The following is a 22893-nucleotide window of genomic DNA, read 5'->3' on the forward strand; positions in this document are numbered from 1 at the left end:
GTCAGGATCACAACCTCTGGGGCCTGTGGTGGTCGCACCTCCCCCTGGAGCCCAGGGAATGTGTCCTACGGCCTCTGAAGTCCCGCCTTGGTTGGACAGGAGGGTTTCTCTTTTTTTTTTTTTTTTTTTTGAGACAAGATGTTGCTCTGTCACTCAGTGGCACAGTCAGCTCACTGCAGCCTCCATCTTCCAGGATCAAGTCATCCTCCCACCTCAGCCTCCTGAGTGGCTGGGACTGCAGCCTTGATCTTCCGGGATCAAGTCATCCTCCCACCTCAGCCTCCTGAGTGGCTGGGACTGCAGCCTCGATCTTCCGGGATCAACTAATCCTCCCATCTCAGCCTCCTGAGTGGCTGAGACTACAGGCGCGTGCCACCATGCCCAGCTAATTTTTGTATTTTCATTTTTAGTAGACGCAGGGTTTCACCATGCCGCCCAGGCTGGTCCCAAACTCCTGGGCTCAAGTGATCTGCCTGCCTCTACCTCCCAAAGTGCCGGGATTACAGGCGTAGGCCACCGCTCCTGGCAGGAGAGAAGTGTTTCTGAGTGGTTCCTGTTTATCTCATGGGGACCCTGACCGCTCAGTCCACACTGCCCTTGTCTACCCCATGGCCTTGGGTGTGGTTGTGGCTGGTGGCTCTGAAGTCCTGCGCCTGGGCTCAGCCTCCAGCTGTCTGTCCCTGCGTGTGAGCCTGCATTGGCTCTGCAGCCATCCCTGTCCTCAGAGTGGTCGGAGGGTGTCCTGCCCGGCCTCTCGCTGCCCTGCCTGGCTGTGCTGGGCTGGTCCCTCAGTCATTCTACCTGAAGTCACGTGGTGCCCAATATGTGCCATTCTGAGGGGCCCCATGGCCATGTCCCAGAGGGAAGAGCAAACACCATAGAGGAAAGTGCTCACAGCTGGAGGACATGGGTGCCCGCCGGGGCTCAGCCCCAAGGGGGGCACAAGCTGAGAGTAGGCAGGGCCCAGGCTTCTGCCCCCATCCGCTGGTGGGGAGGTTCTGTGGCTCAGAGGAGGTGGGTTTGGAGGACAGCTGGACTAGGTGGGTTCTGGCCCACTGGGGCACAGGATTGGCCGCTGTCTTGGTTGCGGGTGTGATGTAGGGAGCTGTGGTGGCTGGGCCCATGGTGGTTTGAGAACTGGGCAGGCTGGGGTGGGCACTGCTGCTTGGTAGCCCGGCTCTGACCTGCTCACAATCTTGGCATCTTAGTGGGTGTCAGGTGGGCAGTTGGCTGCGTGAACCTGGAATTTGGGGCTGGAGAATGGAATGTGAGAATGCAGGGTGTGGGTGGGCTCAGCCGGGGTGGGAGGCAGGGCAGGGCAGGGCAGGGCCCCAGGGTGCGGTGGGCCCGGGGCTGGTGAGGGGCCCGGGGCTGGTGAGGGGCCTGGGGCTGGTGAGGGGCCTGGGTCTGAGGCCTGAGCCTGGGCCTGCACAGTGGTAGGAAGCACAGGCAGGGCAGAGGGGATGGCTGGCAAGTGGGGGTGCGGTCAAGTTGGGGGTCTTGGTGGCCAAGTAAAGACAGTGCTTCCGGACGGAGGGGCTTATCACCTGTGCTGCTGAGGGACAGGGCCGGGGGCTGAAGATCACGCTTGGAGTGGGGGCTACACACCTGACAGAGGGGGATGAGGGGGGCCACGGAGGAGGACACCAGGGCTGTGCTCTCACCAGGTCTCCAGGGTCTTGCCATAAACTGCAGCGAAGACATAGGATGCTGGCTGCAGAGGTTTGGGCTGCAGCCTCCTAAATGTGGGGCCTGTATCTTTTTAAAATGAGCCTAGGATTTGTTGTAATCAGGGAGGGTAACACACAGACGCAGGAATGACCGTCTTGTAGGAAGAAAGTTCTTTTATCCACAGAGAGTGGGGGCTGCTCCACGCAGCTGGGTGGTCGGGGCACAGGAATGGGCAAGACGTCAGCATCAAAACTACAGAAAAAGACGCGCTTAGTGAGGTGGTACAACAGCTACCACGACCTCAGCTAATAAAAAAATGTGGGCCTTGAAGTGGGGGACCCATGGCTTGTCACGCTGGTGGGAGGCACCGGGCTTGGGGAGGCACTGGGCTGGAGGGGGCGCCGGGCTGGTGGGGGCGCCAGGCTGGAGAGGACACCCAGCTGGCGGGGGTGCCGGGCTGGTGGGGGATGTTGGGCGGGCAGAGCCCTGGGCTGGTGGGGGCGCTGGGCCGGTTGGGGTATCGGAGGGGACCGCCAGGCTGGAGGGGGGGGCGCCAGGCTGGAGGGGGCACTGGGCTGGTGGGGTGCTGGGGTGGAGGAGCTCTGGGCTGGTGGGGGCGCCTGGCTAGAGGGGACGCTGGGCTGGTGATGCCCCGGGCTGGTGGAGCCCTGGGAGGTGGGGGTGCCTGGCTGGAGGGGATGCCAGGCTGGTGGGGCCCTGGCATGAAGCTGGCATTGTGATCAGAGTGTGCTCCAGTGACTTGGAAAGCAGACACACCACTGCCAGCCCTGTAGTTTCAGGGAAGAGGGAGGAAAAGGCCTGGATGTTACTGGCGAGGGCCGTGTGCACCTGGCCCCACGTCGCCCCTAGGAGATGGGCTGGGGCGAGGCCTTGCCGGCATGAGAGCAGAACCAAAGGGCAGTAGAGAGGGAGGGAGTTCGGGGCCTTGCCTGTGGGAAAAACCTGCTGCTCCTGAGCCCAGAGTACAGGAAGTTCAAGAGCCGTTTAGCCACGAAGTCCTATTAATTTAACATCCCTCCGTTAACTGAAGGGCCAGGACCTTGCTGTGAACGTCCTCCTAGGGCGTGGCTGTCGACAGTGAGGGACAGAACTGCTAGATGAGCAGCTAGGTGGGAGGCTGCGGGGCACTGGCGAGATGCCTACTTTTTTTTTTGTTTTTTTTTGAGACAGAGTCTCGCTCTGTCGCCCAGGCTGGAGTGCAGTGGCGTGATCTCGGCTCACTGCAACCTCCACCTCCTGGGTTCAAAGGATTCTCCTGCCTCAGCCTCTTGAGTAGCTGGGACTACAGATGCGTGCCACCATGCCCGGCTGCTTTTTGTATTTTTAACAGAGACGGGATTTCACCGTGTTAGCCAGGCTGGTCTCAATCTCCTGACCTCGTGATCCGCCCGCCTCGACCTCCCAAAGTGCTGGGATTACGGGCGTGAGCCACTGTGCCTGGCCCCACTGCTGGTTTTTGATAGAATCAAGTTGCTAAAGAGACGTGAGCCTGGCTGCAGAAGGCCTGGGCCCCAGGACTGCACCAGCAGGAAGAGACTTTGGGAAAAGCCAGCCCAGGAGGGCGGACACCCTAACGCTTATCCCGAAGGAGAGGGACCAGCAGGCCCATCCCGGGAAGTAAAGCCAGCACCCTGGGCCCGTGGACGAGGGGTCTTAGCTGAGAGCGCAACGCGTGTGGGCCAGGGTCTCCTCCGAGGACGGCCTCACTGGTGCCCTTTATGGATGGGGCCTTCTACTGAGCGGCCCTGCCAGGCGTCACCCTTGTACCCGGGGGCCAGGTGGGCAGGCGGCTCTTGTCCGGCATGTAATGGAGAAACTGCAGCCCTTGCAGATCCTGGAGTGTGCAGGAACTAGTGGAATGTGGCAGCCACTGCCAGCCCCTCCCTCCAGTCACTTCTTGGGGTCTGTTTGTGACAGCAGCTGGCATTGTCCTAACTCAGGGATTCCTGCACTTTCTCAGTTCATGGCACTCTTAGTGTCCCAGTGATTCTTTACAGCACCCCTTGGGCGAAAGAAAAACCCAACAGTTCTGTTTGTTAGGGCCAAATGCCTTAGTATTTATGTCCTAACAACTTAGTAGCAGTTTTGGGGAAAAAAAAGTCATATAAATTGAAAAAAAAACCCTTAACTTAAATATTAAAAGAATTGTAATTACTTACTTATAGCATGTCTGGGTCTGTTAAGGTCTGCATGTTTTTGCAAACCTTAATTAGATTGGACATCATCATCTGGATTTCTGATCCACATTAATTTTTGCCTGGTATTTGCTTTTGCTCACAGCAACTGCTGTGAAACCAGCTTTGCAAAGAGACACCAACGCAAGGAAGGTGCAACCCACTGCTGAAACTCTGGGCTCTTTTTTTTGAGACGGAGTCTTTTTTTGAGACAGAGTCTTGCTCAGTCGCCCAGGCTGGACTGCAGTGGCGCAATCTTGGCTCACTGCAAGCTCTGCCTCCCGGGTTCACACCATTCTCCTGCCTCAGCCTCCCGAGTAGCTGGGACTACAGGCGCCCGCCACCACGCCCGGCTAATTTTTTTTTTGTATTTTTAGTAAAGTCAGGGTTTCACCATGTTAGCCAGGGTGGTCTCGATCTCGTGACCTCATGATCCGCCCGCCTCGGCCTCCTAAAGTGCTGGGATTACAGGCATGAGCCACTGCGCCTGGCTGAGACGGAGTCCTTGCTCTTGTCCCCCAAGCTGGAGTGCAGTGGCGCGATCTCAGCTCACTGCAACCTCTACCTCCCGGGTTCAAAGGATTCTCTTGCCTCAGCCTCCCAAGTAGCTGGGACTACAGGCGTGGGCCACCATGCCCGGCTAATTTTTGTGTGTGTGTGATTTTAGTAGAGACGGGGTTTCACCATGTTGGCCAGGCTGGTGTCGAACTCCTGACCTTAGGTGATCTGCCTGCCTCGGCCTCTCAAAGTGCTGGGATTACAGGCGTGAGCCACTGCGCCCGGCCTGGGCTCTCTTGAATTTTTCATGAGGTAACGGATGTGTTGTGTATCCCTGCATTTCCCTCAGAACCTTAAAATACTTTGTAGTGGCCCCGAAAACTTTTGATGGCACCCTGGGGTGACTCAGTTTGGGAACTCTCGTCCTAACTTTCCTGTGATTTCTTTTTTTTGAGACAGAGTCTCACTCTGTTGCCCAGGCTGAACTGCAATGGCACGATCTTGGCTCACTGCAACCTCCGACTTCTGGGTTCAAGTGATTCTCCTGCCTCAGCCTCCCCAGTAGCTGGGATTACAGGCACCCGCCATCATGCCTGGCTAATTTTTGTATTTTTGTAGAGATGGGGTTTCACCATGTTGGCCAGGCTGACCTCAAGTGATCCACCCGCCTCTGCCTCCCAAAATGTTGGGATTACAAGCATGAGCCACCGCACCTGGCTTCATAATTTCTTTCCACTTAGTGTTGTTGTGTTTTTTGTTTGTTTGTTTGTTTTTTTGAGACGGAGTCTCGCTCTGTCACCCAGGCTGGAGTGCAGTGTCGCGATCTCGGCTCACTGTGAGCTCCAACTGCCGGGGTCACGCCATTCTCCTGCCTCAGGCTCCCGAGTAGCTGGGACTACAGGCGCCCACCACCACGCCCGGCTAATTTTTTGTATTTTTAGTAGAGACGGGGTTTCACCGTGTTAGCCAGGATGGAATGTTGTTGTGTTTTAAGCTCCATCCTCTAAGGTGCGCCTGCAGCGACTCACTGCTTCCAACTCCCGCACACGTCCAGTGGGGAGCATTTAGGCAACTACCCACCCACTCTCCACAGACAGGTACCTGGCTGCCCCCCGCTCCCTGCCACACAAAAGACGCAGCTCTCAGGTGGGCCCAAGGGATCAGGCCACAGAAAAGGAGGGCTTGTGGTCCTTCCCTTGGTCGGGGACGTGCCGTGACTCCCCGAGTGGCCTTTCTGGCCCGTACTCCTGTCTGGCTCCTACCTCCTGGGTCCCGGCCCTCCCTCCCTCAGCGTTTTCTAGCGTTTGCGGGTTTGCCAGCAGAGCGTCAGGTGGTCTCTGCGTCTAATTTCCATCTCTCTGAGTATTGACCGTGAGCATCTTTCACACACTTGCTTCGTTTCTGGGTTTCCTCTTCTGTGAGCTGCCTGGTCATACCCTTTGATCGTTTTTCTTTTGGGACCTGCTGTCTTTTACAAATTGAGTGGCAGGAACTCCTTGAAAATTCAAGATAGGGATCTCTCAGTGGTTTTACACACTATAAATAGCTTCTCCCATTCTGTCGTCTGGTTAAAGATTTGCCTATGGTTACCCAGAAAATTTTAACTTTGCTATAATCAAATTCGTCTTTTTTTTTTTTTGACTCTTGGTTTCACCTTAGCATTTTGTGAAAACGAGCTTCCCTCTCCCAGTCCTCCTTCTCCCAGTTTCCTTCTGTCACTTCTCCCTGTAGCACTTAGGTCTTCCGTTCGTCCACAGCCCACCTCCGCAGGTGCTCTCATGTCGAAACCAGTTTTTCTCCATAGGGTGAGCCGCTTCCCAAGACCATCTCCTGGGAGCTCTGCCCTCCTCACAGTCCACGCTGTCGCTGTCATCCACATCGGCTCCTGTCCGTGCAGGGGTCTTGCCCCGACCTCCCTTCTGATCCAGCAGGCTGTTCCTCACCAATACCACATGGCGTGATTACCCTGCATGTCATCAGGGTTCAAGCAGAGTAGCCGAGCCGGTGGGGGCTGTGATACATAGGAAGGGTGGGGTGCGTGTGAGGCTGGCATGGGGGAGGCTGCGATTGTCGGGGTTTACCTTTGCCGTCTTGCTGACGCACACTCAGCAGCCCTGGTGACAGTGGGCGTCCTTGTTCTCAGTCTCAGAGGGCAGGTGTCTAAAGTTTGTCCATGAAGTATGACACTTGCTGGGTGCTTTGGCCACATAACTTTTTTTTTTATTTTATTTTGAGATAAGGTCTCCTGTTGCCTAGGCTGGAGTGCAGTGGCCCAATCACAGCCCACTGCAGCCTCTGCCTCCCAGGCTCAAGGGATCTTCCCAACTCAGCCTCCTGAGTAGCTGGGACTACAGGTGTGCACCACCTCACCCAGCTAATTTTTGTATTTTTTTGTAGAGACTGGGGAGGCGGGTCTCACCACGTTGCCCAGGCTGGTCTCGAACTCCTGGGCTCAACTGGTCCTCTTGCCTCGGCGTCCCAAAGTGCTGGGATTGTAGGCATGAGCCACTGTGCCCAGCCAATGAGTTTTGACTCTCTTTTTTTTCCACGTGAAAAGGGTCCGAGTACCACTTGTGGAAAAGACCCTGCTCTCCTGCCACCCTGTGTGCCGCTTGGTACCGCCCTGGTGTCCATCTTCGTCTTGGGTCTTCCTTCTTTCCCTTTGGGAAGCCCACATGGTGTTCATGACTCCAGCCGTCTCTCGGGCTCCATGTAGGGCAGGGAGGGTGTGTTGTCCACTCTCGCCTATGTCGGGAGCCCTGGGACTCTTCTCGACGCCTCATATTTCATAGACATTGTAGAATCCGTTTGTCGAATATTAGGCAAAGAACTATTGGGATTTTACTTGGGATGACGTGGAATCCATAGATCAGTTTGAGAACTGATGTCTTTAGAATGTTAATGCTGGCTCTTCTGCCTTACAAACACACTTCTCCGTGGGTTAGGTGTTCATTAATGTTTTATAGTTTCCTGGATATAGGTATTATACTTCTTTTGTTAGATTTGTTTCTCAGTATTTGGTCTTTTTGAAATATTGTAAGATATATATATATATCTTATATATAGATATCTCATATATATACACACACACACACCCACACCCATTTCATATTTACATTTCATTTTCTAACTCTGTTGAAAATTGTAGAAACCCGAAACTGATTTCTGCATTTTGACCTGGTTTAGCGAGTCTTGCTAAACTCACTTATTAATACTAAAAAATTTATCTCTGGATTTTTTTTTTTTTTTATGAGACAGGGTCTCACTCCGTCACCCAGGCTGGAGTGCAGTGGTGTGATCTCAGCTGACTGTAACCTCTGCCTCCGCTTCCCAGGTTCAAGCGATTCTCATGCCTCAGCCTCCTGAGAAGCTGGGACTATAGGCACCCACCACCACGCCCAGCTAATTTTTGTAAATTTTGTATTTTTTGCTAGAGATGGGGTTTCACCATGTTGTCCAGGTTGGTCTCAAACTCTTGACCTCAAGTGATCTGCCCGCCTCGGCCTCCCAAAGAGCCACCGTGCCCAGCCTAGATTTTAAAAGACTTTTCTAAGTACACAATTATATCACTTGCAAAAACTAATCGTAGGTTAGGCTGGGCATAGTGGCTCATGCCTGTAATCCCAGCACTTTGGGAAGCCAAGGTGGGAGGATCACTTGAGGCCAGGAGTTTGAGACCAGCCCAGACAACACTGTTACACACCGTATCTACAAAAAATTTAAAAATTAACAGGATGTGGTGGTGTGCACCTGTATTCCCAGCTACTCTGGAGGCTGAGGCAGGAGGATTGTCAGAGCCTGTAAGGTTGAGACTGCAGTGAGCCATGATCATGCCACTGCACTCCACCTTGCACAGAGCAAGACCCTCTCTTTAAAAACAAACAAAAAAGACCAGTCACGATGGCTCACACCTGTAATCCCAGCACTTTGCGAGGCTGAGGCAGGTGGCTCACGTGAGGTCAGGAGTTTGAGACCAGCCTGGCCAACATGGTGAAACTCCATCTCTACTAAAAATACAAAAAAAAAAAAAAATTAGCTGGGTGTGGTGGCGGGTGCCTGTAATCTCACCTACTAGGGAGGCTGAGGCAGGAGAATCACTGGAACCCGGGAGGCAGAGGTTGCAGTGAGCCAAGATCGCGCCACTGTACTCCAGTCTGGGCAACAGTGCGAGACTCTGTCTCAAAAAACCAAACCAAACCAAAACAAAACAAAACAGACAAACAAACTAATGATAGTTTCATTTTAAACATCTCCAAATCTTTTTTTTTTTTTTTTTTTTTGAGACAGAGTCTTGCTCTGTTGCCCAGGCTGGAGTGCAGTGGCGTGATCTCGGCTTACTGCAACCTCCGCCTCCCAGGTTCAAACCATTCTCCTGCCTCAGCCTCCTGAGCAGCTGGGACTACAGGCACGCTCCACCACACCCACCTAATTTTTGTATTTTTAAAAGACACGGGGTTTCTCTGTGTTAGCCAGGATGGTCTCGATCTCCTGACCTCGTGATCTGCCCGCCTCGACCTCCCAAAGTGTTGGGATTACAGGCGTGAGCCACCATGCCCAGCTTAAAATCCCCCATTCTTATTTCTTTTTCTTGCTTCCTGAAAGAAGCACCCTGTTTTCCTGGTGTTTCTAGTAGGGGCTGAGCAGCCCAGGCGGCTGCAGCGTCTCTGTCTGCTTCTGGCTGGAAGAGAGTGTTCTAGTTCTGCACTACGAAGATTGCTGTTTGCAAAGCAGATTCCTGTAGATGTACTTAATTAGATTAAGGAGAGCTCCCTTCCATTCTCCGTCTACTGAGAGCTGTTTTAGGAAGTCATGAACAGCTATTGAATCTACTAAATGCCTTTTTTGCACCTACTGATATGGTCATTTTTTTCTTTAATCTGTTAATGTGAAGACTTACATTTATTGATTTTAGAAAACCTTTTATTAAAAAATCATTTCAAATAAAAAAATTACAGTAGTGGCTGGGCGCCGTGGCTCACGCCTGTAATCTCAGCAGTTTGGGAGGCCGAGGCAGGTGGATCATCTGAGGTCAGGAGTTCGAGACCAGCCTGACCAACATGGTGAAACCCTGCCTCTTCTAAAAATACAAAAATTAGCTGAACATGGTGAATCCCTGCCTCTTCTAAAAATACAAAAATTAGCTGGACATGGTGGTGGGTGCCTGTAATCCCATTTACTCGGGAGCTGGAGGCTGAGGCAAGAGAATTGCTTCAACCTGGGAGGCGAAGATTGCAGTGAGCCAAGATTGCACCACTGCACTCTGGGTCTGGGCGACAGAGTGACACCCTGTCACAAAAACAAACAAACAAAACAAAAAGAAAAAACAAACAACAAAAATACTACAGTGGTACCATAGCTCCTATATGTCTTCACACAGATTCCTCAATTGTTAACATTTCACCTGACCATTCTCTACACACACACACACACACACACACACACACACACACGCGTGTGATGGACGTATGGGAATGGAGCTGTGTCAGCCTCAGGGCATTCGCTCAGGAGGGTGTGGCTCTCTGGGCCCTGCTGCGGGTGCCACCCACCTCTCTCCCTTAGTCAGAGTGGCAACCGCTCGCTCCTCCACCGTGAGGTTAATGTGAAATGTGTTGCTAACTACGGCATAATTCCTGAGTATTGTATGAGGGTGATGCTCCAATGCGATGTCAGTGTCCTGGTCCAATTCCCACGGGCGCCCTCCGCGGGGCGCCCCGAGACTCCCACCCGACCGGGTGTCCTGGTCCTAATCCCATGCTCACCCTCTGAGGGGCACCCTGAGACTCTGGCCCAACTAGGTGAGGACTGTGATGTGGCTGAAGGGCGGAGTCCACTTCCCTTCTGGATGCCTCAGTGAGCCTGCTGCCAGCTGCAGCTTTCCCTCCCTCTGCTTATTCACATCAGCTTGGACTTGTGTGTGCCTATTTTACTCAGAGGGTTATGATGCATTATTCTCATTATTTATGTGATGCTCACATAGTCCCGGAGGCAGCCAGTGCAGCCCTACAGCTGGGTCTGGTGACTTTGTAGTGTGTCCTGCCATTCTATCTTTAAAGATTTTTTGGAGACAGGGTCTCACTCTGTCACCCAGGCTGGAGTGAAGTGGTGCAATCATGGCTCACTGCAGCCTCGACCTCCCTGGGCTCAAGCGATCCTCCCACCTCAGCCTCTCGAGTAGCTGAGACTACAGGTGTGTGCCACCATGCCCAGCTAATTTTTTTCTATTTTTTTTGGAGATGGGGGGGAGGTCTCGTTATGTTGCCCAGGCTGGGCTCCAGTAATCCCAAAATGTTGGGATTACAGGCATGAGCCACCACACCTGGCCATGTCTCTGTCTTATAAGGACAGTTGTCATTGGATATAGGGTCCACTCGATAATGCAGGATGATCTCCTGCTCTCGAGATCCTTAATCACATCTGCCAAGACTCTTATTCCAAATAAGGGTGCATTCCCGGGCTCTGGGGGTTAGGATGTGGACGCGTATTTAGGGGTCACCTTCAGCCAAGGGCCAGCAGTCTGTCTGCTGTGTCCAAGGCACAGCTTTCCAGCTGGCTTTTTCCTCGTGTTGCCCAAGCCCTCCCCTTTTCCTTTCTTTGGGGCTGAGCTTTCAATAGCACACCTAGCATGGGCAGAGGAGGCATTCGGAATGGAACAATAAATAGGGAGATTGAGGATGAGGGAGCGAGACTCTGACTGTAAGTGGTGGTTACACATCAGGAAAGTGGGGATTTAGGAATAAGCCCTGTGGACTGGCATGAACTTGTGGTTAAATCATTGACGGCCTGGGAGAGGGATGGGTGTGGAAACACAGGTGTGCGCATGCCTGCAAAGACAGCCTGAGCGGCGGCAGCCGGGCAGCAGTGAGCACGTCCAGCACCCAGGGTCAGCTGGTCTCAAACTCCTGACCTCAAGTGTTCCCCCTGCCTCGGCCTCCCAAAGTGCTGGGATTACAGGCGTGAGCCACCGTGCCTGGCCTGTTCTCTTATTTTCAACCTTTCTGTATATGTATTGTAAATGTAAGTTGCAGAAACAGAATATATTTGTCTTATGATGGACTCTTCTAATTGATTTATAATCACTAATCTATTTGGGTTTAAATCTACCATCTTACTAGGAACCTCCACATAACCCATAACCTCACACAACTATCAACTCCTAGCCATCTAATAGGTGTGCACGGGAACCTCATCACTGTTTAAATCTGCATGGAACTCCTCATGTGCCGATTTGCATCCATGTATCCTGTTTGGTGAAATGTCTGTTCAAGTCCTTTGCCGATTTTTAGATTATTGTATTTACTGCAGATTTTTTTTTTATTTTTTATTTTTAGAGACAGGGTTTTGTTCTGTCTCCCAGGGTGGAATGCAGTGGCATCAACATAGCTCACTGCAGCCTCGAACTCCTGGCCTCAAGTGATCCTCCTGACTCGGCCTTCCAAAGCACTGAGATTACAGGCATGAGCCACTGTGCTTGGCCTTATTGCCGATGTTAAGAGTTAAAAAAATATGTAGGCTGGGCATGGTGGTTCACACCGTAATCCCAGCACTTCGGAAGGCTAAGGCGGGCAGATCACGAGGTCAGGAGTTTGAGACCAGCTTGGCCAACATGGAGAAATCCCATCTCTACAAAAGATACAAAAAATTAGCCAGGCGTGGTGGCGTGCTTCTGTAATCCCAGCTACTCGTGAAGCAGAGGCAGGAGAATTGCTTGAACTGGGGAGGTGGAGGTTGCTGTGAGCCAAGATTGCGCCGTTGCACTCTCTCCTGGGTGACAGGGTGAGACTCTGTCTCTAAAAAAAAAAAAAAAAAAAAGTAAAAAACTAACAGGTGCTGGTGAAGTTGTGGAGAAAAAGGAACACTTATATACTGTTGGTGGGAGTGTAAATTAGTTCAACCATTGTGGAAAACAATGTGGTGATTCCTCCAAGACCTAAAAACAGAACTCCCATTCTATCCAGAAAATCCCGTTACTAGATATATACCCAAAGGAATATAAATTGTAATATCATAAAGACACATGCACCGCTATTCACGATAGCAAACTCATAGAATCAACCTGAATGCCCATCAATGATAGACTGGATGGAAAATGTGATACATATACACTATGGAATACTATGAAGCCATAAAAAAGAATGAGATCATGTCCTTTGCAGGAACGTGGATGGAGCTGAGGGCCATTATCCTTAGCAAGCTAATGCAGGAACAGAAACCCAAATTCATGTTCTCACCTGTAAGTGGGAGCTAAATGATGAGAACATATGGACACATAGAGGGGAACAACTGACACTGGCCTATTGGAGGGTGGAGAGTTGGAGGAGGGAGAGGATCAGGTAAAATAACTAATGAGTACAAAGGCTTAGTACCTGGGTGATGAAATAATCTGTACAACAACCCCCTATGACACAAGTTAACCTATATAACAAACCTGCACATGTACTCCTGAACATAAAATAAAAGTTAAATATATAAATATGTACATTAGATGTTAATATACATTACACATTATATATATATATATTCTGCAAACAAGTCTTTTGTTTGATACATGATTTATAAGTTGATATGGTTTGGCAGTGTCCCCACCCAAATCTCATCTTGAATTGTAGTTCCCATAATCCCCACCTGTTGTGGGAGGGACCCAGTGTGAGGTAACTGAATCATGGGGGTGGTTACCCCCATGCTACTCTTCTCTTGGTAGTGAGTGAGTTCTCACGAGATCTGATGGTTTTACAAAGGGCTTTTCACCCTTTGTTCAGCACTTTTTTCTCCTGATGCCATGTGAAGAAGGACGTGTTGCTTCCCCTTCCGCCATGATTCTAAGTCTCCTGACGCCTCCCCAGGCATGTGGAACTGTGAGTCAATTAAACCTTTTTCTTTTATAAATTACCCAGTCTTGGTTACTTCTTTTTTTTTTTTTTTGAGATGGAGTTTCGCTCTTATTGCCCAGGCTGGAGTGCAATGGCATGATCTTGGCTCACCGCAATCTCTGCCTCCCTGGTTCAAGTGATTCCTCTGCCTCAGTCTCCTGAGTAGCTGGGATTACAGGCCCCTGCCACCATGCCCAGCTTATTTTTGTATTTTTTAGTAGAGACAGGGTCTCACCATGTTGGCCAGGCTGGTCTTGAACTCCTGACCTCGGGTGATTCACCCACTTCAGCCTCCCAAAGTCCTGGGGATTACAGGCGTGAGCCACTGCACCTGGGCTCAGTCTTGGGTATTTCTTCATAGCAGCATGAGTACGGACTAATACACAAATACTTTCTCCCAGTATATAATTTGTCTTTTCATCCTCTTAACAGTGACTTTTACATAGAAAAAAAGGTTTAAATTTTGATGAAATCCAATTTATCAATTTATCTTTTATGGATTGAGCTTTTGTTGTTGTGTCTAAGAATATTTTTAGCCTTGGCCCAGGTTGTGAAAATTTTTTCTGTTTTTTTCTTCTAAAGGTTTTGTAGCTTTACACTTGACATTTAGACCTGTGATCATCTTGAGTTAATTTTTGCATAAGGAATGAAGGTCTAGGTTGAGGATCCTTTCTTTTTTCCCACACACGTGTCTAATTTGGTGAAAATACTATCTTTCCAATGTCGAATCACTTTTGCACTTTAGTTAAAAATTAATTACCACTTTCGAAAAGCTAGGAATAGAAGGGAACTTCCTTAATCTGATGAAAGAGATCTGCTAGGCCCCACAGCTAACATTCTCCTTAATGGTAAAAGGCAGGATGCTCTTCCCCTGGGATCAAAAACAAGACAAGGATATCTACTGTCACCACTTTTATTCAACATTGTACTGGAGGCTCTAGTCAAGGCAATTTGGCAAGATAAAGAAATAAAAGACATCTAGATCAGAAAGGAAGAAGTAAAACTTCTCTGTCTGGGGATGATATAATACTATATATAGGAAATCCTCAGAAATGAACTAAAAATATTAGCACTAATAAAGAAATTCAGCAAGGTTGCAGAATCTTGTGATCGATGTGCAGAAAATCCACTTATTTCTATGCACTAGCCACAAGCAACTGAAATAAAGTAAAAAAATCCATTTATAGCAGAGTCGAAAAGAATTAAACGCTTAGAAATAAATTTTACAAAAGAAGTGTAAAACGTTGGCAACGCGTGGTGTATTTTTCTATGCAAAAAAAAAAAAAAACAAACAAAAAACCAGACTGTAAAACACGTGTTTTGAAGACGACAAAACATTGTTGAAAGAAATTAAAGAAGACCGAACTAAAGTAAATGTAAAGACATCCTATGTTAATCACAAACTGACCTGCAGACTCAGTGCAATCCCTAGTATCAAAACCGCACACGGCTTCTTTGTTTGTTGTTGCAGAAATTGACAAGCTGATTCTGAAATTCATAGGGAAATGCAAGGGATCCAGGGCGGACTAAACAGTCTTTTGTTTTGTTTTGTTTTGAGATGGAGTCTGGCTCTGTCACCCAGGCTGGAGTGCAGTGGCGAGATCTCAGCTCACCTCAACCTCTGCCTCCTGGGTTCAAGCTATTCTCATGCCTCAGCCTCCCAAGTAGCTGGGATTACAGGACCCACCACCACACTCAACTCATTTTTCTATTTTTAGTAGAGATGGGGTTTCACCATGTTGGCCAGGCTGGTCTCGAACTCCTGGCCTCAAGTGATCCACCCGCCTCGGCCTCCCAAAGTGCTGAGATTACAGGCGTGAGCTACCACGCCTGGCCCCAAAACAGTCTTGAAGAAAACAGTTGGAGTATCCACACTTCCCAATGTCAACACTTATTACAAAGCCGCAGAAATCAAGATAATGAGGGGCTCACAGAAGGACAGACTTACAGATTACTGGAACAGAGTGGAGAATCCAGAAATAAACCTTTACGTTTTTATGGCCAGTCAATTTTTGAAAAGGATGTCAAGACCATTAAATGGGAAAGAATCGTCTTTTTAACAAATGGTGCTGGGAGCACTGGATATGCCTAAGCAGGAAGCTAGACCCTGTGTCTGTGCCCCAGGGCTGCCCTAACAAAGCACTGCAAACGGGACAGCGTCAACCACAGGAATTCCTTCTCCCACGCTCTGGAAGCTAGAAGCCCAAGATCAAGGTGTCTGCAGGACTGGTGTTGCTGAAACTGACCCAATAGTCCTACAGACTGTTCTTTTTGAAAACACAGAAATGGACCCTTCTGGTCTTAAAGCTTGAAACTTTTGTTTTATCTGAATTTCTTCCTCAGCAAAGGACCTTCAGGCCTCTCAGAAAAGTATCAAAGAACTGAAACTACCCAGACCAAGGCACAGATGCTGGACCCCTCATTCATCATGATTGCTTCCTTGCCTGACATGGTTTGGCTGTGTCCTCACCCAAATCTCAACTTGAATTGTATCTCCCAGAATTCCCACGTGTTGTGGGAGGGAACCAGGGGGAGATAATTGAATCATGGGGGCCAGTCTTTCCCGTGCTATTCTCTTGATAGTGAATAAGTCTCATGAGATCTGATGGTTTATTAGGGGTTTCTGCTTTTGCTTCTCTCTCATTTTCTCTTGCCGCTGCCATGTAAGAAGTGCCTCTCACCTCCTGCCATGATTCTGAGAACTCCCCAGCCATGTGGAACTGTAAGTCCAATGAAATCTTTTTTTGTTCCCAGTTTGGGGTAGATCTTTATCAGCAGCATGAAAACGAGTAATACATTGCACCTCTCTAGTTCTTGTTTTCTTACACGTTGTTACATTTCTTCCCCTGCTATATAAACCCCTGGTTTTAGTGAGTCAGGAGATGGATTTGGGACTGAGCTCCCATCTCCTCTGCTCAGCACCCAATTAAAGCCTTCTTCCTTGGCCATACTTGGCATCTCAGTGATTGGCTTTCTTTGCAGCAAGCAGCAGGACCTGGAATGAAACCCTGGTGTTTCAGTAACCTTGCCAGCAACTCTCAGCTTGCAGCTGCCTCCCTCCAACCTCTGTCCCTGTCCTCATACAGTCTTCTTTCCTCTCTCCTTATAAGGACACAGACATTGGATGTAGGCCCACCCTAATCCAGTGTGATCTCAACTTAACTAGATGATACCTACAAAGATCCTATTTCCAAATAAGGTCACGTTGGCAGGTATCAGGGTAGGACTGAAACATATCTTTCTGGGAGCCATGATTTAGCCCATAGCAGATCCCTTCCTTAAAACAGACATAAAATGTAACTAAAAATGCATCATACACCTAAATGTAAAACCTAAAACTATAACACTTCTAGAAGAAAACAGAGGAGAAAATCTTTGTGACCTTGGATTATGCAAAAGCTTCTTAGGACACAGAAAAGCACAAGCAACAAAATAAAAGATAGATAAATCGGGTTTAATTAAAATTAGAGGTTTCTGGCCGGGCACAGTGGCTCGTGCCTGTAATCCCAGCACTTTGGGAGACTGAGGTGGGCAGATCACGAAGTCAGGAGTTCGAGACCAGACTCGCCAACATGGTGAAGCCATATCTCTACTAAAAATAGGAAAAGTTAGCCGAGTGTGGTGGTGTGCACCTGTAATCCCAGCTATTCGGGAAGCTGAGGCAGGATAATTGCTTGAACTTGGGAAGTGGAGGTTGCAGTGAGCTGAGATCACACCACTGTACTCCAGCCTGGGCAATAAAGCGAGACTGTCTCAAAAAAAAAAAAAAGTTTCTGTGCTTTGGGACTCCATAAAAAACGTTGGGTGGGTAAGGATCACGCCTGTAATACCAGCACTTTGCGAGGTCAAGGTGGGAGGATCAATTGAGCCCACGCGTTCAAGGCCAGCCTGGGAAACGAGAGTAGCAAGACCATGTCTCTACAAAAAATTAAAAAATTAGCCAGCCATGGTGGTGCGCACCTGTAGTTCCAGCTACTCAGGAGGTTGAGGTGGGAAGGTCACTTGAGCCTGGGAGATCAAGGCCCTGGTGAGCTGTCATTGTGCCACTGCACTCCAGCCTGAGCGACAGAGAGAGACCCTGTCTCAAAAAAAAAGTTGAGGCTGGGCGTGGTGGCTCACGCCTGTAATCCCAGCACTTTCGGGGGCTTTGGCACATGGATCACTTTGGGGGGCTTAGGCACATGGATCGTCTGAGGTCAGGAGTTTGAGACCAGCCTGGCCAACATGGTGAAACTCCGTCTCTACTAAAATTACAAAAATTAGCTGGGCGTGGTGGCACGTGACTGTAATTCCAGCTACTCAGGAGGCCGAGGCAGGAGAATCACTTGAATACAGGAGGCGGAGGTTGCAGTAAGCCGAGATCTCACCACTGCACTCCAGCCTGGGTGACAGAGCAAGACTCTGTCTCAAAAAAAAAAAAAAAAAAGAAAAGAAAACAAAATGGCCAAGCACAGTGGCTCATGCCTGTAATCCTAGCACTTTGGGAGGCTGAGGTGGGCAGATTGCTTGAGCTCAGGCGTTCAAGACCAGCCTGGGCAACATGGTGAAACCCCATCTCTACTAAAAACACAAAAAATTAGCTGGGTGTGGTGGCGTGTGACTGTATTCCCAGCTACTTGGGAGGCTGAGGCACGAGAATTGCTTGAACCTCGGAAGCAGAGGTTGTAGTGAGCTGAGATTGTGCTACAGCACTCCAGCCTGGGTGACAGAGCACGACTCTGTCTCAAAAAAAAAAAAAAAAAAAAAAAGTTGAAAAGACAACTCAGAAAATGGGAGAAAGTATTTGCAAATCACATATCTGATAAGAGAATTGTATCCAGAATATATAAGGAACTCTTAGAGTGGAACAGTAAAAGGATAAATAACCCAATGGAAAAACGTGCGAAGGATTTGAACAGACATTTCTCCAAAGGAGATATGCAAATGGCCACTAAACACACGACCAGTGCCTGGTGTCCTTAGCCATCAGGGACATGCAAATCAGAGGCACAGTGAGGCAACATTTCACACCTGCCACGATGGCTATGATTAAACATGTTGATAATAACAAGTGCTGGCAAGGGTGTGAAGAAATTGGAATCCTCACATATTGCTGATGGAAACGTAAAATGATCTGAAAAAGAGTCGACGCTTCCCCAAAATGTTAAACACAGAGTTACCGTATGACCCGGCCATTCCACCCCTCGACGGACACCTAAGAGAAATAAACACAGGTCCACATAAGAGTTTGTACTGAAGTGTTCATAGCCACATCCATAATGGCCAAAAGGTGGAAACAAAGCCAAAAGATGTCCATCAACTGATAAAGAGATAATAAGAGCATGGAATATTATTTGGCAATAAAAAGGAAGGAAGTAGTGATGCATGCTGCAACATGAATGCGCCTTGAACACATTTAGCAAAATAAGCCAGTCACAGATGACCGCATATGGTATGGTCCCATTTATATGAAACGTCCAGAAAAGGCAAATCTGTGGAGACAGAAAGTAGATTATTGGTTGCCAGGGGCTGGGAAAACTGGGGAGAAATTGGGTGTGAAAGGGGGGCGAATGCTACTGGCTCTGGGTGGGTGTGAAAGGGGGGCGAATGCTACTGGCTCTGGGTGGGTGTGAAAGGGGGGCGAATGCTACTGGCTCTGGGTGGGTGTGAAAGGGGGCGAATGCTACTGGCTCTGGGTGGGTGTGAAAGGGGGGCGAATGCTACTGGCTCTGGGTGGGTGTGAAAGGGGGCGAATGCTACTGGCTCTGGGTGGGTGTGAAAGGGGGGCGAATGCTACTGGCTCTGGGTGGGTGTGAAAGGGGGCGAATGCTACTGGCTCTGGGTGGGTGTGAAAGGGGGCGAATGCTACTGGCTCTGGGTGGGTGTGAAAGGGGGGCGAATGCTACTGGCTCTGGGTGGGTGTGAAAGGGGGGCGAATGCTACTGGGTCTGGGTGGGTGTGAAAGGGGGCGAATGCTACTGGGTCTGGGTGGGTGTGAAAGGGGGGCGAATGCTACTGGGTCTGGGTGGGTGTGAAAGGGGGGCGAATGCTACTGGGTCTGGGTGGGTGTGAAAGGGGGCGAATGCTACTGGCTCTGGGTGGGTGTGAAAGGGGGCGAATGCTACTGGGTCTGGGTGGGTGTGAAAGGGGGCGAATGCTACTGGCTCTGGGTGGGTGTGAAAGGGGGGCGAATGCTACTGGCTCTGGGTGGGTGTGAAAGGGGGGCGAATGCTACTGGCTCTGGGTGGGTGTGAAAGGGGGGCGAATGCTACTGGCTCTGGGTGGGTGTGAAAGGGGGGCGAATGCTACTGGCTCTGGGGATGATGAAAATCTTTTAAAATTGATTATGACATGTGTAAAATTTTCCTTCCTTCCTTCCTCCCTTCCTCTCTCTTTCCTTTCCTTCCTCTTTCTTTCTTTCTTTCTTTCTTTCTTTCTTTCTTTCTTTCTTTCTTTCTTTCTTTCTTTCTCTCTCTCCCTCTCTCTCCCTCCCTCCCTCCCTCTCCCTCTCCCTCTCTCTCCCTCCCTCCCTCCCTGCCTCCCTCTCTCTCTCTCTCTCTGTCTCTCTCCTTCTTATCTTGCTCTGTCACCCAGGCTGGAGTGCAGTGGTGCCATCTCGGCTCACTACAACCTCCGCCTCCTGGGTTCAAGCTAGGCTCCTTCTGCCTCAGCCTCCCAAGCAGCTGGGATTACAAGTGTGCGCCACCACGCCCAGCTAATTTTTGTATTTTAGTAGAGACGAGGTTTCACCATGCTGGCCAGGCTGATCTCGAACTCCTGACCTCAAGTCATCTGCCCTCCTTGGACTCCCAAAGTGCTGGGATCACAGGCGTGAGCCACTGTGCCCAGACTGTACACTTTTGCTTTTGGAGACAGAGTCTCACTCTGTTGCCCCAGCTCCCACGGCTCACTGTAGCCTCAACCTCCCAGGTTCAAGCGATCCTCCCACCTCAGCCCCCCAAATAGCTGTGACTACAGGCATGCGCCACCATGCCCACCTACCCTTTGTGTTTTTTGTAGAGACGAGGTATTGCTATGTTACCTAGGTTGGCATCGAACTCTTGGGATCAAGCAGTTCTCCTGCCTGGCCTCCCAAAGCGCTGGGATTACAGGAGTGAGCCACTGTGCCTGGCTGAATTGTACACTTTATTTATTTATTTATTTATTTTGAGACAGAGTCTTGCTCTGTTGCCCAGGCTGGCGTGCAGTGGCATGATCTCGGCTCACTGCAACCTCCGTCTCCTGGGTTCAAGCGATTCTCTTGCCTTAGCCTCCCAAGTAGCTGGGACTACAGGCGTGGGTCATCACGCCTGGCTAATTTTTGTGTGTGTGTGTGTGTGTGTTTTTAGTAGAGGTGAGGTTTCACCGTGTTGGCCAGGCTGGTCTTGAACTCCTGACCTCAGGTGATCACCTGCCTCGGCCTCCCAAGGTGCTGGGATTACAAGTGTGAGCCACTGCGCCTGGCCTGAATTGTACCCTTTAAATGGATGAATTTTATGGTATTTGAATTATATTTCAATAAATCTGTTAAAGAATCAATGGCCATGCTTGTGTGGGTGCACTTGTTCCATTGATCTGTCGGCTGACCCTCTGCCAATTCAGCCTGTCTCAATTGCTTTAGCTTTATGGTGAGTTAACATCCATTAGTGATGGCTGGGCACGGTGGCTCACACCTGTAATCCCAGCACTTTGGGAGGCTGAGGTGGGTGGATCACGAGGTCAGGAGATCGAGATCATCTTGGCTAACACAGTGAAACTCCGTCTCTACTAAAAATACAAAAAATTAGCCGGGCGTGGTGGCGGCCGCCTGTAGTCCCAGCTACTCGGGAGGCTGAGGCAGGAGAATGGCATGAACCCAGGAGGCAGAGCTTCCAGTGAGCCAAGATCATGCCACTGCACTCCAGCCTGGGCTACAGAGCGAGACTCAGTCTCAAAAAAAAAAAAAACCCAAAAAAACAAAAACAACAACAACAAAAACATCCATTCGTGAGAACCCTCCAACTTTTTCCCTTCTTTTTCAGAATTATTTTGGCAACTAGTTGCTTTTCATTTCTATATACATTTCAGAACAAGGTTTTCTATACCTATAAAATTTCCGACAGGAATTTTAATTGAAATTGCATTAAATCCGTAGTCGTTTTGGAGAGAATTGGTATCTTAACTATATTTGTTCTAATTCAGGAACACAGCATGCCTCTCACATATTTAGGCCTTCTTTGATTTCTTTTATCAGCATTTGGTAGTTTTCAGTATACAAATCCTGTACCAGTCTTGTTAGATTAATACCAAACGAATAAATTTACTGGGGGACCATTTTAAATAGCATTGCTTTTAAAAATTTTGGTTTTCAATTGTTCATTGCTAATATATAGAAACAGGACTGAGTTCTGTGTTTTCATCCTGCAACCTTGCAAAACTCACTTATTAGTATTCTGACTTTTTTGTTGGTAAAATTCTTGGGATTTTCGACATAGACTTTTATGTTATTTATGGATAGGGACATCTTTATTTCTTCCTTTCTAATCTGTATGCCTTTTATTTTTCTGGTTTTATTGCATGGGTTAGGACTGCCAGTACACTGTGGAACAGGAGTGAATAGAGTGGACATCTTTACCTTGTTCCTGATCTTAGGGCTCAGCATTTAGTCCTTCATTATTAAGTATCACATTAGATGCAGAGGTTTTTTTTTTTTTTTTTTTTCTTTTTTGGACAGGGTCTTCCTCTGTTGCCCACACTGGAGTGCAGTGGTGCGATCTTAGTTCACTGCAACCTCTGCCTCCCAAGTTCAAGCGATTCTCATGCCTCAGCCTCCTGAGTAGCTGGGATTACAGGTGTGTGTCACTGTACCCTGCTAATGTGTGTGTGTGTGTGTGTGTGTTTTAAGTAGAGATGGTGTTTCGCCATGTTGCCCAGGCTGGCATAGAACTCCTGAGCTCAGGTGATCTGCCTGCCTTGGCCTCCCAAAGTGCTGGGATTACAGGCGTGAGCCACCACATCCGGCCAGATTGTTTTGTATTTTTTGTAGAGACAGGGTTTCACCATGTTTCCCAGGCTGGTCTTGAACTCAAGCTCAAGCAATCCGCCCACTTTGGCCTCCCAAAATGCTGGTATTAGAGGCATGAGCCACAGTGCCTGGCCTAATTTTTTTTTTAATTAAAAATAACAGATATGGAATCTCTCCATGTTGCCCGGGCTGGTCTTGAACTCCTGGCCTCCCAAAATGTTGAGATTGCAGGGGTGAGCCACCATGCCTGGCCTGTTGTTTTTGTTGTTGCTTTTTGTAGATTCCTTTTATGAGATTAAGCATGTTCCCTTTGCTTTCTAGTTTGCTGAGAGTGTTTATCAGGGATGAGTGTTGAATTCCGTCAAATACTTTCTTTGAATTGATTGAGATGATCACATGGTTTTCTTCTTGAGACTAATATGGTGGATCACATCGATTTATTTTCACATGTTGAACCAGCCTTGCCTTTCTGGGATAGCCTCCATTTGGTTGGGGTATTTGTGTGTGTGTGTTTTTAATGCTGCTTGATTCTATTTGCTGATAATTAGTTGAGGGTTTTTGTGTCATGTTGGCATTGGCGGCTGTTGATTGTCTTTTCTCTTGCAGGTTGGATTTCCTGATTCTTCACATGCAGAGTAATTTTAGATTGTCTCCTGCACATTTAGACATTATGTTATGA

At 49.0% G+C, this 22893-nt stretch overlaps 4 annotated features.

Annotated features, from left to right (window-relative positions):
• Window positions 5836-6337: an enhancer, noted in NCBI's record as "H3K4me1 hESC enhancer chr14:105974095-105974596 (GRCh37/hg19 assembly coordinates)". NCBI's record gives its function as "activates a minimal SCP1, AML or CMV promoter by ChIP-STARR-seq in primed H9 embryonic stem cells {active_cell/tissue: H9 hESC(primed)}" and the evidence as "EXISTENCE:reporter gene assay evidence [ECO:0000049][PMID:30033119]".
• Window positions 6338-6837: an enhancer, noted in NCBI's record as "H3K4me1 hESC enhancer chr14:105974597-105975096 (GRCh37/hg19 assembly coordinates)". NCBI's record gives its function as "activates a minimal SCP1, AML or CMV promoter by ChIP-STARR-seq in primed H9 embryonic stem cells {active_cell/tissue: H9 hESC(primed)}" and the evidence as "EXISTENCE:reporter gene assay evidence [ECO:0000049][PMID:30033119]".
• Window positions 10002-10501: an enhancer, noted in NCBI's record as "H3K4me1 hESC enhancer chr14:105978261-105978760 (GRCh37/hg19 assembly coordinates)". NCBI's record gives its function as "activates a minimal SCP1, AML or CMV promoter by ChIP-STARR-seq in naive H9 embryonic stem cells {active_cell/tissue: H9 hESC(naive)}" and the evidence as "EXISTENCE:reporter gene assay evidence [ECO:0000049][PMID:30033119]".
• Window positions 18698-18873: a silencer, noted in NCBI's record as "fragment chr14:105986957-105987132 (GRCh37/hg19 assembly coordinates)". NCBI's record gives its function as "represses an EF-1alpha promoter that drives an FKBP-Casp9 reporter gene in an ReSE screen in K562 erythroleukemia cells {active_cell/tissue: K562}" and the evidence as "EXISTENCE:reporter gene assay evidence [ECO:0000049][PMID:32094911]".

The sequence above is a fragment of the Homo sapiens genome, chromosome 14, assembly GCF_000001405.40.
Source record: "Homo sapiens chromosome 14, GRCh38.p14 Primary Assembly".
Lineage (NCBI taxonomy): Eukaryota > Metazoa > Chordata > Mammalia > Primates > Hominidae > Homo > Homo sapiens.